The sequence below is a fragment of the Homo sapiens genome, chromosome 14 (genome assembly GCF_000001405.40).
Source record: "Homo sapiens chromosome 14, GRCh38.p14 Primary Assembly".
Classification (NCBI taxonomy): domain Eukaryota; kingdom Metazoa; phylum Chordata; class Mammalia; order Primates; family Hominidae; genus Homo; species Homo sapiens.
The window spans coordinates 94,561,439-94,576,180 of NC_000014.9; the positions used below are offsets into that span (position 1 = coordinate 94,561,439).

Here is a 14,742-nt window from a genome sequence, read left to right on the forward strand (position 1 = left end):
GATAAGACAGAGCTGAGACAGCCACCCAGGGGGTCCACTCCAGGACAGACTGTGCCGTGAGTAACCCCCTGAGACAATGGAGACGAGAGACTCTAGAGGGAGGGTGACCAACTGTTCCACTTTGCCCAAGACTGATAATTCTTCTGGGATATATTTTCAGTGCTAAAACCAGGAAAGTCCCAGGCAAGCTGGGACACTTTGTCACTCTTGCTAGAGGTGAGAAATACTCAGGCTAGAAAGGCCCCGACTTAGGGTCCATGGGCACTGGTGGGTGACTATGCCCGGAGACCCAGAAAAGCCTCCCCCAGGGACACACAGCTGGTACAGGGCGGCACTGACTGAGGGCCAAGGTCTTCTGGCTGCCAATCCAGGTGATCTTGGGGAGCTCATGCCGGAGGGGAGGTGTGTCTGTGAGTGATGCGGTCCTATGTATGTTTCTAAATGATCCCTCCAACTGCTGAGTGGAGAACAGAGAGCAGAAAGACTAGGAAGCTTTCTGCAAGGGTCTAGGTCAGGGGTCAACAAACCACAGCTTGTAGGTCAAATCCGGCCCACCGCCCATGAGCTAAGAATGCAAGATGTAAAATATAAATATAAAATATAAGTGATAAGTATAAAAGATAAATATATAAAGCTATGAAAAATCAATAGAAGAACAACATTTTGTGACACAGGAAAATAATATGAAATTCACATTTCAGTGTCCGTAAGTGAAGTTTCACTGAAACACAGCCACGCCTCTTCATGCATGTCCGGTCTGTGGCTGTTTCCAGCTGCCACAGCAGAGTTGGGTAGTGGCAGCAGAGACTGTGTGGTCTGCAAAACCACAGATATTACTATCTGGCGCTTTGCAGAAAAAGTTTTCTGAGCCCTGGTTGAGGATCATAGCAAAAGAGGGGGCGAGAGGCTGAAGAACCTACAGGAGAGTCTAGGAGTTGGAGACCAGCTTGGGCAGCATGGTGAGACCCCAACTCTATAAAAAATTAGCTGGGTGTGGCTGTGCATGCCTGTAGTTCCAGCTACTTGGAAGGGTGCATGCCTGTAGTTCCAGCTACTTGGAAGGGTGAAGTGGGAGGATCACCTGAGCTCAGGAAGTCAAGGCTGCAGTGAGCCATGATTACACCACTGCACTCCAGCTTGGGTGACAGAGTGAGACCCTGTCTCAAACAAACAAACAAACAACCAAACAAACAAAAAAAACCCAACCCTGCAGGTCATGGAAGTGGATTAAATGGATTTTGGGTGGATAGAAGCCTAGAAGCTTTTTGGCCTGACAACCGGATACTGGTGGGACCATTTGATGGGGCAGGAGCAGATTTGGGGGAGAAACTGGAGTATCCTTTCTTGGACAGATGTTCATTATGAAACGGGTACCAATTCTATCCCCACAACTTTGGGCAGGTCACTTATTAAACATCCATGTCCTTGTCTGTACGGGGTAACAATACAAAGACCAGTTCTACTGACCTCTACAGGGGTGGGAGGGTCAAACTAAATGGCTGAAAGTGGTTTGTAAACCATATAAAGCACTCCACAGATGTTTGTGGAACAGACCCTAAAATAAACTCTGAGGATAGCCATCCTCCATGCAAAATCACTGCACTAATGAAATCAACTCATCTGAAAGACAAGTGTGGGAGAAGCAGCACCTGAGTCTGGGGATGTGGGTTCTGGCTGGGATATGTGCTAGGTAGGTGACTTGGGTGAGTCACTTTGGGAGTCTTCATTTCCTGCTCTGTTGGGTGAGAATGGAGTCTAGTGCTGTGCAGAGCTCACACAGGTGGGAAACACAATGACATGATGGACACAAGGAGTGTGCCTTGTAAGTCTAAAACATTGCCATCCAATAGTGTTGCTGTCACCATACATGTGGAAGGTGGTGGGTGTTACATTGCCTTTCACAAGCCCATCTGCAGGAGTTGAGGGTGTCACTCACGATCTCCGGGTGCTGGCCCACTGCCAGCCTTCTCAGTAGGGCCAGGTGTTCTTCTGGGGGAATTTCCTGGGCATTCTCTTCCCTCCCATAGGCCTGAGAGTGCAGAGGATGCATCTTATCGACTACCTGCTCCTCCTGCTGGTTGGACTACTGGCCCTTTCTCATGGCCAGCTGCACGTTGAGCATGATGGTGAGAGTTGCAGTAACAGCTCCCACCAGCAGATTCTGGAGACAGGTGAGGGCTCCCCCAGCCTCAAGATAGCCCCTGCCAATGCTGACTTTGCCTTCCGCTTCTACTACCTGATCGCTTCGGAGACCCCGGGGAAGAACATCTTTTTCTCCCCGCTGAGCATCTCGGCGGCCTACGCCATGCTTTCCCTGGGGGCCTGCTCACACAGCCGCAGCCAGATCCTTGAGGGCCTGGGCTTCAACCTCACCGAGCTGTCTGAGTCCGATGTCCATAGGGGCTTCCAGCACCTCCTGCACACTCTCAACCTCCCCGGCCATGGGCTGGAAACACGCGTGGGCAGTGCTCTGTTCCTGAGCCACAACCTGAAGTTCCTTGCAAAATTCCTGAATGACACCATGGCCGTCTATGAGGCTAAACTCTTCCACACCAACTTCTACGACACTGTGGGCACAATCCAGCTTATCAACGACCACGTCAAGAAGGAAACTCGAGGGAAGATTGTGGATTTGGTCAGTGAGCTCAAGAAGGACGTCTTGATGGTGCTGGTGAATTACATTTACTTCAAAGGTGAGAGTCAGATCATTGGTATATGCTAAATCCACACCACCGCCTCCAACCCACTAATTTGTTGACTGGTTAAATATATTTTTACAAAAATGTAAGTAAAAACGTTGTGTCTGATAGGGTTGAGCAACCCTCAGGGAATGCAATGTGAGAATGTTGTATGTTGAAGACTCTGTAGTATTGAGGTTTCCATTCCTTCCTATCTTTAGACATATTTTCTTCATAAAAATAATGTATAAAATGCATTATAGCCAGTGATCATTAGTTGAATTGCTGGATTCATATCTGAGCTCAGCCTCTACCAACAGTGCAAACAGGTCAGCTTGTTTGCTCAAAGCAGGGATAAGACAAGTCTCTAATTCAAAGGTTGGCTTTGAGGATCAAATGATTAACCCATGTATATACTCCTTAGAAAAGGGTCTAAAGAGATGGGCAAACTACAGCCCATGGGCCAAATGTGTTCAGCCACTGGTTTTGTAAATAAAGTTTTATTGGCACACAGCCAGGCCCATTCATTTATGTATTGTCTGTGGCTGACTTCATGCTACAATGGCAGGTTGATTCATTACTGCAGAGATTGAATGATCTGCAATGCCTAAAATAGTTAATATCTCTATAAACCTTTTGGTTTGTTGACCCCTGACCATTTTATGTACTCAATAAATAGCAACTATAATTCATCTAATGATAACAATGCTCATTTTGAAGCTTTAAAAATATGTAAAAGCATAAAGGAGAAAGTAGACATAATCTCTAGTCCTACCACTCAGAGGCAACAAATGTTAATGTTTTAGCATCTTTTCTTCACCTTCCATTCACACACATATATGTCCACACAGTTGATTTTGCAGTGTGCAAACAACTTTGTACGGTGTGTATTAGCCAGGGTTTCATCAGAGAAGGAGAGCCACCTCAAGTCAATGGTAAGGAGATCATTATAGGAATTAGGCCCCACACAATTGCGACTGGGAAAGTGAAGGTCTAGAGGAAAGAAGAGTTGGAAGGACAGAGAGAAAGTTGCCAATGTAAGCGGACAAGTCAGAGCTTAGAGGGGAATCTATATGCCAGGCTCAACCAGCCATCAGAGTGCTGCCATGGAGGGGAGCATCACTGCATAGTTTCTGTGGTAGCCTGGGGCTGCTGTTGTTTAGTGGGGTTAGACTTGGGAAATGAGCTTGGAGACAAGCAGGGCAAACTGGAGCACACAGAGCACTGCTGAGTCTGACCATCATCATATCTGACTACCAGGGCCTTCAGAGGGCAATCTACTTCGAAATCTCACAGTTCTAACCAGCTTGAACCCAAAATCTACAGGGAACAAAATTCTAGGGAGCAACTCCCAGCCTAATGATTCAGCCAAATTAGTCATCCCATGTAATTTGCATGTGGAATTTTCATGAACCATTGAAAAGTTTTTTTAAAAAAGCTTTGTTTTGAGGCTGGGCATAGTGGCTCACACCTGTAATTCCAGCACTTTGGGAGGCCAAGGCAGGTGGATATTGAAATCAGAAGTTCAAGACCAGCCCGGCCAACATGGCAAAACCCTGTCTCTACTAAAAATACAAAAAAAAAAAAAAAAATTAGCCAGGCTTCATGGCACATGCCTGTAATCCCAGCCACTTGGGAGGCTGAGGCAGGAGAATCGCTTGAACCCAGGAAGTGGAGGTTGCTGAGATTTTGCCACCACACTCTGGTCTGGGTGACAGAATGAGACTCTATCTCCAAAAAAAAGTTTTGCTTTGAAATAACAAAACTTTTAAACTTTAAAAAAAAAATTAACTAAGGAAGGAAGAGAAACAGTAGTATGGGTTTCACTGTCAGGAAGACATTGGTTAGAATCCCAGATCCCTTGCTATTCCCTGGACTAAAATTCCTGGCATGGAGGCCTTAGTCCATTCACCCTACCTGCCACCACCTCACTGCACATCGCCTCCTGTATTTGCTTCCCTCCTCACACTGCAGCGATTCCATGGCCATCATTGTGGTCACTTCCTTGCAAACACTCTGAACTCTTAACTTCCTTGGTTTTCCCTCCCTCTATCATACTTACCCTCCAAAGCTGCAAACCTGCTTAAACCTAAAGGTCTAACTAGTCTACATCTGCACCCAGCAGCTGAATGTGGTTGAAGAAAAACATCCAACGGGGCTGATGGTCTCACTTGATATTTGTGAATGCAAATTTTCATTGATATCTCTACACTGTCCAGCAATCCTACCTACATATCTCCACTCTCCAAAACAACTATAATAACAGATTCGTCCTTCTCAAATGTCCTCCCCACTCATGACTTTCACTTAACAATCTTGTCTCACTTTTCATTGAGAAAACAGAATCAGTTAAACAGGAAATCTCTCATCTTCTCACCTCCAAATCTACTCACCTCCAAATCTTCTCACCTCCAAATCTACTCGCCTCCCTGCATTTGAACCCACAAGCTCAGATGCCCTCCTCTCATCATGGCAGTAGTGACCCACCTCTTATGGAAGGCTGACCCCTCTGCTCACACTCTGCCATCTCCTCTCTCCTTCTCAAGGATGCTCACCTAACAATGAAACTCTCTTTCCAGCACCCCTTGTTTCTTCTCTATCAATCCTACTCACATATTAGAAAACGAACATCCTCTGCTATCTCTCATTTTAAAATTTAAATGAGGCCTAAAGGATCCATTCCCCAGGCATGTCAGGTTTTGAATGGTCAAAATGGGACATCTTGATGGGCTCATAGGGCAGGATCTGGAGCGACTGTTTCTGTAGCTCAGAACACCAGATGGCATTCCCTGGCTGGAGGACTAGCTCTGTGGCCTGCAGATGTCCTGTACCTTCTTTTCATCTTCCCTTCAGCCCTGTGGGAGAAACCATTCATTTCCTCAAGGACCACTCCCAAAGACTTCTATGTTGATGAGAACACAACAGTCCGGGTGCCCATGATGCTGCAGGACCAGGAGCATCACTGGTATCTTCATGACAGATACTTGCCCTGCTCGGTGCTACGGATGGATTACAAAGGAGACGCAACCGTGTTTTTCATTCTCCCTAACCAAGGCAAAATGAGGGAGATTGAAGAGGTTCTGACTCCAGAGATGCTAATGAGGTGGAACAACTTGTTGCGGAAGAGGTAATCAGTGTGCTATGGGGGCTGAATCTACAGTACTATCCATCAAATGTAACTTTCTAATGAAAGACAGTGCCCCAAAATAGAGAGTGAACACCAAATTATGAGAGAATTCTCACTTGCTCTGAGAACTTCCATGGGCTTCCTTTAAATGATGAACTCTCCTGTTATATTTAAAATATGACTTCCCCCTCTTTAGGCAAAAAAGAACCACAGTAGGAGTTCAGAGTCCTGGGTTCTAGACATAGCTCTTCCACTGCACAAGACTTGGGTCAAGTGACTCTTCCTCTCTGGGGGGTTACCTCTGTGCAATGAAGAGGTAGCCCTTCTGGCCCAGAAGGTTGACTAAGCTGCCATAGTGGGACTTAAAAAAACTCCATCCACCTACCCAAGGAATTAATAGGAAGGCTTCCCATCACTCTGGTTATGATTGGAAAAAGTCTTCAACCATATATAAGAAAAGGATCCTAGCCCAAGGGCACATGTGGATAGAAAATTCACACAACTTTCATGATGGAGAGAATCCAATCCAAAGAAATTAGCTGGTTCAAAAAGAATAAAACCCACAGGGCTATAACAGAGGCAAAGGCAAAACTGCCACCTGGCGAGGCTTACATCTGTCTCCCTGGGCACCTGAACACCCACAGGAAGCAACCTCTGAAGAGGGGTTCCCAAGGACGGGAGATCCCACAGACAGCAGGGCCTGGGTACAAAGGAACCTGGCCTTTCAACATCCATTTGTGGGAGGTGGTCTGAGCCGAAGCTGTTTGTGGGGACAGAACTCAGATGGAATAGAGCCAGCTAGAGAGGGCCACCAAGGAGGGCTCTGCCCAGCAGGGATCCTGGCTTGTTCATTAATCTAATGTTCTAACTCAATGCCCCTTTCAGGAATTTTTACAAGAAGCTAGAGTTGCATCTTCCCAAGTTCTCCATTTCTGGCTCCTATGTATTAGATCAGATTTTGCCCAGGCTGGGCTTCACGGATCTGTTCTCCAAGTGGGCTGACTTATCCGGCATCACCAAACAGCAAAAACTGGAGGCATCCAAAGTAAGTCGTCAACAGTCAGCAATCCCTAGAGAACTCGGTAGGGCAGTGCCCATGGGAGCTGCCAGGCGATGGGGCTCCCAAGCTGCCACATGGAGTCTCAGAGCCTGAGTGTGTTCAGTCATCTACAGGCATCAGCATCCACCAATCAACCAGCCCTGGACGTGGTGCTAGGTGCTGGAGATATAGTGTTGAACCAGCCCCTGCCCTCAGAGAGCTCTCCCAGTCTAGTCAGGGACACAGCGTCTTCATAGAGAGATAAACGCAATGATAGAAAATGGAGGAGGGGCCGGGCATGGTAACTCATGCCTGTAATCTCAGCATTTTGGGAGGCCAAGGCAGGCAGATCACTTGAGGTCAGGAGTTTGAGACCAGCTTGGCCAAAATGGTGAAACTCCAACTCTACTAAAAATACAAAAATTAGAATGGTGTGGTGGCGGGTGGTGGGCACCTGTAATCCCAGCTATTCAGGAGGCTGAGGTAGGAGAATTGCTTGAGCCTGGGAGGCAGAGGTTGCAATGTGACCAGAGATCAGGCCACTGCACTCCAGCCTGGGTGACAAAGTGAGTGAGACTCCATCTCAAAAAAAAAAAAAAAGAAAAAATAGAGGAAACAGAGAGGAGAGACACAGGTGAGGCTGCATTGGGTGCGTCTGTATTAGGGAGACTTTGCAGATAAGAGAAAGAGACTCAAGACTTCTGATAAGAAAAGTGCACGAGGGGGTAGAGCCTTGGGTTCAAGCTTGAATTCCGGTTCTTCCTCTTATGGTTATTGAAAGAGTACTAGTTTCTGAATTTATTTTCCTCACTTTTAAAATGGACATCATACTGCTGACCTCTTAGGATGGCCATGAAGATCAAATAAGATGCATGCAAAGCCCCGGGCACAGAGCAAGTGCTCATTTAATGAGAGCTACCATGATTGTGTGTGGCAGGAGGTCTCTAGCTCAAAAATCCGCCCAAATGAAATTCTTGCTGTGTTATCCCCAAGAAATGGCCTTGCAGGCTGTTATGTGCAATATTATTCCCTAGCAATTTCTGGCTCTCGCAGTCTTGTCCAGGCCCCCTCTCTTGCTGGCTTGGAGATAATGCTTGTGATTTTCCTCCCAGAGTTTCCACAAGGCCACCTTGGACGTGGATGAGGCTGGCACCGAGGCTGCAGCAGCCACCAGCTTCGCGATCAAATTCTTCTCTGCCCAGACCAATCGCCACATCCTGCGATTCAACCGGCCCTTCCTTGTGGTGATCTTTTCCACCAGCACCCAGAGTGTCCTCTTTCTGGGCAAGGTCGTCGACCCCACGAAACCATAGCCCTCCCAGGGCTGCTCATCTGTTCCAAGCAGGAGGATGTGGCAGGGGAGGGCTGGGAGTGAGTAGCTCTGTGTTTAGAGTTGGGGACAAGGATGACACCGAAGGTCCAGGAGTCCAGGACAGCAGGTGCTGGCCGGTGGGGAGCGGGGAGGGGCACTGAGATGGGCAGGGCCTGGACATTCCACACCCTGGTGCTGTGCAGCCTCTGGCAGAGCATCCGACCTCTTGGAGCAAGTTTCTGCCTCTGGAAAGGGGGCGGGCCCTTTTCACAACAGGCTGGTTGTACCGAGTAAACAACACGATGCCATGAAGACCCTGGTTCAGTGTCTCGCACGTGGTAGACACTCAGTAAATGCGTCCTCTGCCTGGCCCTCCTGGGTTTGCCCCAGACTCCCCTGGCAGACCTGGTCCCAGACACAAGGTATGAGAGCTCCAAGTCCCGTTCCAGTAGGTTATCCAGGTTTATGGAAAGGGGACTGGGTGTGGGCAGTCAGCTGCCTCAGGCAGGGCTGGTACCTTGCTCCAGAGCAGGGGCTGAGAAAGCCACGGAAAGGCAGACACCACCAGGGCGGCTTCCACGGGGACCTGGTCAGAAGAGCCCAGTGAGGCACTGTCCCCTCCTGTGGCTACAGAGATGTGACCCGTGTCTCTCCCAGGACAATGGCTGCGGCCAAAGAGCACACTGCAGACCCAGAGACTCTTGCTTTTACATCCAGGCTCTGTGCTCTGGATCTTCAGGCAAATCCTCACCCTCTTGGGCCTCAGTTTCCCCACCTTTCTGGCCTAGGTGGTCCAGCTCAGACTGGTTGAGTATGTGGGGTGGATCCTCCCAGAGTCTGTGAGAATAAACCACCCCCTCCACAGGGCAAGGCAGGTGGATGAGATGTGGTTCTGTTTGCCCTGAGCCTCGGTGATTTCTGGCAAATGCAATTCTCTGGGTAGGACCTTGTGGTTTTCTTGGTGGCCAGGACATCAGTGGCAGCTGGGCTCCAGCATTGTCTCCAGCCCTTGACCATGGACACGGAGTTCCCGGGACAGTTAGAGCTGGGAACGGTCCAGCCAGGAAGGACATCTCCTTTCCTTTTCCTCGACCTAGCTCACCCTGTGCTTTCAGGGCCGGGGCAACAGTTCCCACACGCTTTCCTATCAGCTGCTCATCCTCCTCCCAGGCAGGCCATTTCACTCCCACTCGGTGGCGTCCAGGTTGCCAGCATGTTCAAAACCAGAATTCCTGGGTTCAAGTCCCAGCTGTGCTCCTTAGAAGTAGTGTGATCCTGGGGAAGTCATTTCACGTCTCTGAGCCTCAGTATATTCATCTATAAAGTGGGATGATGATAACGCTACTGACCTCATAGGGCTGTTGGGAGGATTAAACAGTGACTGTATATGTCAAGTCTCACAACAGTGCTGTGCAAACATTAGCTATATTATTATTGCCCTCATTCCTGCAGCCCTGACAGTCAGTGCTGCCACCACAGGCTCTGAGCTGGGGGTCTCTCTCCACCAAATCCCACTGCCATCTGGGGACCCCAAACCTTTTTCACGTTGCCACTTTCGCTACTCAGGAAAATTGACACTGAGTCCCCGCAAGGAGAAGTTCCAAAAAGGCAGAAGATTTATAGGCCTTTCTCACCACACTGGCGCCTGAAGTTCCTAACTGATCTTCCAGAAGTTTCTAAATAAGACTTCAGCTCTCAGCTCTCCTCTCTTGGTAGATCCAGTGGGGGCAGAATCTCCCCTCAGAGTCTGTCCTGGACTGAAAGATTAGGGGCTGTTACTTTAGGACCAGCTCAAAGAATCTTCTAGGCTTTGGGAATCATGGCTGCTCGCCACATCCACTCCAGGGTGCTTGCTCAGTGTCCACGAGGCCCAGGGCCGATACTGAAAACTCAGCCATGGGCTTCAGAACAAGACCCAGCTGTCTCAGGCTCTTGGCTCTGGCAAGCAGGATGTCTCACTGTCACAAACCCAGAATTTTCACCAAGGAGAAGGTGACCAGGGGAACAGGCCGGAGAGCGGCCTCCAGTGTTGATGACTGTTTAAGAGCCAAAATATTCCAGTAATTGTGTGACATGGGGATCCCTGGCCCAAATAACGCTGCAACCACAGGAATAGGCTCACTGCCAGGAAACCAGGAAACCGATATTTGGAGCAATAGACAGACTACTCTTGTACAGTGGAAAAGTCCTTGCAGAAGGGAGGAAGATGGAAGGGGAAAGCCCAAAAGCGTTCCTCTCCCTTCCTGCCCCTAAAATATAGCCCTGAGCTGGACATGAGTGCAGCCTCAGGAGAACTTGACGAAGAAATGTTCCATACAGGAAATTGCCTGGCGAGGCCATTTTGAGTTAGTTATACCAGCTCTGGGCTTCACTCAGGAGAAGCTGTCCAGTAAATGCCTGAGGGCACCCAAGGCCTCTGGGATTCAGGGGAATGCACGCTCTCCTTTGTACCCCTTGATTTTGTTGGCCCAAAAGCAAGCCTGCTAGCTCAAAGAGTGATTCATTTCCCCCTGTGCCTTCTGGGAAGTTGGATTCTGTTTTTCAACAACCAGGCAAGAAATGAAGTAAGGCCCAGGCTGACTCGCCCCCTCTTCTGTCCCTACAGAGGTACATGGGTGAGTGGATTCCAGGGTGGAAGACAAACCTGAAAGAAGGCCAAGGTCTAGGGTTACTATGGCAACAGCATGGCAGGGCGTGGTGATGTTGAATGACCGCGGCCCCGAAGTGATGAAGGAGAGAGAAAGGAAGCAGGTCTTCCTCAATTCAGCCTTGAGAGTGAAGCCTCCTTATTCTGATTAATCTCAACCCTCCACTACTCAAAAATAGTTGATGGCTCCCTATTGCCTACAAAATAAGGTTCAAAGGCCTCTATTTATAGTCAAGGCCCTCCCTGATCTGGTCACCCCCTGCCTGTTCTGCCTCAGTTCCTCCTCTTGCTCTCATGTACCCAGTGGCTGCAGTCACAGAAAGTCTTGTTTTCCCAGGTTTCCTATAGCGTCCTACCTCTAAGAATCTGCACTCTCTCAAGATCTCACAGATACCACTCACCTCCCTAAGGCAGACTGTCATCCCACCATCAAACGTGGTTGACCCGATAAGAATGTTTGCCCCCACCCCCACCATCCCTATTAGATAGGACATTTCAAAGGTGGGGACCTGTTGACCCTGCTGACCCTGCATTCCTTCAGCTCACCTGGCCCCAGTGCCAGCTGGATATGAGAGAGGCCCAACTGATATTTGTTGCATGAATGAATGAATAAATGAATGAATGAATAGAAAAGGTTAAGCCAGAAGCAAGGTCACCGAGCTATTTGTTCTGCATCACCACCCCTTGACATGGCCCTGGAATTGATTGGGCAAATATTTAGTTCAGCTCCTCAGATTTCAAAATGCCCTTTTGGAGCATTAAAAAAAAAAAAAATTAAAAAGACTTCATGCAGGAGATCTTGCCTCTTTAGAGCAGTGCCTGAGTCCACTTTTCCCGTTGCTGCTCCCCTGTGGGGTCTCTCATTTGTGTGGCCCTTGTTACACCGCTAGAGAGGTAGGCCTCTCAACAGCAGCAATGAGTGCTCGGAGGAACCGTGCCTGTTTGTGAGTTCAGAAGTTATCTTCCAGCAGGAAAACAAAGTCTTTCTGTACTTTGCAACTAGGGGAAAAGGCAGAGGAAGCCAATGTGAGTGGCAGTGATGTAGCCTAGTGGAAGGTGACAAGTTTGCACGACTCTAGTAAATTGGTGTGTAGAGAAATGCAGCGTGGGTTTATTCGGTTTTTCATTCTTTCATTCAACATCTAGTTACAGAGTGGGGTTTGGCCATGTTTGAGATAGGAGAAAACAAACTTTTTTTCAAGTTCTCAACACTACAGTTCACCTCTGGTCACCAAAATGTGTGTGGGATTTCTCCAACCACCAAATTGTCCAGCAGACACTAACTGGGTGTCCTGCAGTTCAATTCAATTCAATTCCAACACTATCTACCTGGAGATAATGTTGGATCCCATCAGTTAAGAGCTCTGTCGCACAAGACTGCCCCTACTTCAGATGCCAGTTGCAAGTAGTAGGCTGTCACCTATACTTTATGACCAACTGGCTATAAAGTGAGGTTCCCACAACTCCCTCCTCAGGTTCAGTTCATTAGCTAGGAGGGCTCACAGAACTCAGGGAAACACTTACGCTTACTGGTCTATTTTATTAATAAAGGATACAGATGAACAGCCAGATAAAAGAGAGTCAGAGGGCCAGGTATAGGGTACTGGGCGCAGAGCTTCCATGTCCTCCCTCAGTGTACCACCCTCCAGAAGCCTCCGTCTTTCAGCTGCCCCAAAGTGCCCAAACCCTGTCCTTTTTGGGGTTTTTATGGAGGTTTCATTACACAGGCATGATTGATTACATCATTGGCCACTGGTGACCAACTCAACCTGCAGCCTCTCTCCCATCTCAGGAGGTCATGAGGAGGGGGGTGAGCTGAAAGCTCCAACCCTCTAATTCCATGGTTGGTTTCCCTGGTAACCAGATTCTTTATGAGCCTACCCAGGAGCCCACCAAGACTTGCCTCGCTAGAAAAAAGATGTTCCTGTCACCCAAGAAACTGCAAGGGATCCAGGAGCTCTTCATCAGATGCTCTTGTCACTCTGGAAATTACTAAGCTCTCGGGAATCAGGTCAAAGACCAAATATTAAACAAACGATTCTCTTAGTACCCCTATCTACAAGGATCCTAGAGGCACTGTCTCAGGTACTCGAGCCAGAGACTAAATGTATATTTCTTATTATTAATATGTCACAGTTTCACAGGCTGCTAGCCAGGAAGCCAGAGGGACCTCCCCAGTGTAAAATTTGGATTCAGACAAGGCTGCAGTCTCAGCTTCTTCACTAACAATGCACTGTGGGGCAATCGCTTTACCTGTTTGGGTCTTAATTTCCTCACCTGTACATGGCAGTGTCCTCTGGGCACAGAGACCTACTGCAGCTGTGGCAGTGGAAATGGGAGGATGGACATGGGATCCGCTGAAGACACAGACCTGGGAGCCCCTGGCTTCTGACTCCATGGAGTGGGTGAAGGGCACACCAGTCTGCTTCATCCCTGACTGCCTGGGAGTGGGCCCTTATCGAAGAAGAGGCAGAACTAATATGAACAGCTCCTGTGCTCTGAGCACCTGCAATGAGCAAGGCACGGTGCCGAGTGCTTGCCAGGAGGTATGAAGAGGCCGCAAGCATCCAAGTATAGAACCTGGACTTTGGAGCCAGGATGCTTAAATCTGAATCTGAAATCCAGCAATTACTGAGTGTATTTGTTTGCTAGTGCTGCTCTAAGGAAGGACCATAAATGATGTGGTTTAACCAACAGAAATACATTGTCTCTCAGTTCTGGAGGCCAGGAATCTAAGATCAGTGAGGAAGAATCTATTCCACACCTCTCCCCCAGCTTCGGAAGGTTTTCTGGCAATCTTGAATGTCCCTTAAATGTAGGAGCATCACCTCAATCTCTGCCTTTCTCCTCCTGTGGTGTTCTTTCTGCGTGACTGCTGGTGGCCAAATTCCTCCTTTGTGAAAGAACACTAGTAATATCGGAGTAGGGGCCCACTCTACTCTGTTATGACCTCATTTTAACTAATTACGTCTGCAAGGACCCTATTTCTAAATAAGGTCATATCCTGGGGTGCTCCAGGTATGGGCTTCAACACGTGAATTTGGAGGGTTGGGGGCAATTCAACCCATAACACCGGGTGAGGGACTTGGGTGGTCTCTCTGTGCCTCAGTTCCCTCACCTATGGAATGGAGATGACAATACCTAACTCATAAACCTATCGTGGGTGTTTGCTGAGTTCCTGTACGTAAAGCACTTAAGCTAGTGGTTCAGCATTAGTGCCTTACAAATGTTAACTGCTGTTATCTCATTCATCTTTTGTAACAACTGTGTGCTGTGCAACAAGGGTGACAACTGGTATGCCTGCCAGAGCTGGGCAGGTCACACAAACAGACGAAGTGGGCTGCCAGTGATGGGGCCCAGGCAGGTGAGACAGTAAGAGCCCCCATTTAAAGGCATTCTGCTCAACATTGTTACATAATAATCTATGGCATGAAACTCACCTATGGAGGCGAGAGCTCCTTGTTGCTCTTGATGTCAATGGAAAAAATTGACCATGACCTACCTGGTCCTTAGGTGGGGTTAACAGCTATTCTGAAAGAAGAATGCTGATTTGACAAGAACTGGGCGTGAAGCCAACCATGTGGTCTAGAAAGGACACAATTGCCTTTAAGCCAAGGCCTAAGCCTATCAAGACTGAGTTAATGAGGCTGCCCCATCAAGCCAGCGGAGGTCAGCCCTCACCAGCCCTGGCTGGCTCTCTGGCTGCAGAGTTGCTGAGCAGGGCTGGAGAACAGACCAAATGGGGCCAGCCAAGTTCGCACATCCTCAGAGCCACCCGCTCAAGTGTTTAGCTCTCCTGGGGTGATTGACTTCAGTGGGAGCGTGGCTCTGCCATGATTCAGACTTCTGGCCTCCAGAACTGTGAGAGAGTGAATTCCTATTGTTTCAAGCCACCCAGTTTGTGGTGATTAATTATGGCAGCCAACTAACATTCCTCTT

General features: G+C 48.5%; 1 protein-coding gene across 3 annotated transcripts; it reads left to right on the forward strand.

Moving 5' to 3' along the window:
- Positions 4–8,468, forward strand: SERPINA4 (serpin family A member 4). 3 transcript variants are annotated; one of them, NM_001289032.2, is made up of 5 exons: positions 4–371; positions 2,028–2,693; positions 5,532–5,805; positions 6,691–6,850; positions 7,957–8,468. In NM_001289032.2, exons 1-5 carry the CDS (start codon positions 278–280, stop codon positions 8,155–8,157), a joined length of 1,395 nt encoding a protein of 464 aa, NP_001275961.1. In that variant the 5' UTR covers positions 4–277; the 3' UTR covers positions 8,158–8,468. The 3 variants fall into 3 exon arrangements, with proteins under 3 accessions (NP_001275961.1, NP_001275962.1, NP_006206.2); NM_001289033.2 differs by having other exon boundaries at positions 4–216; NM_006215.4 differs by having other exon boundaries at positions 4–56.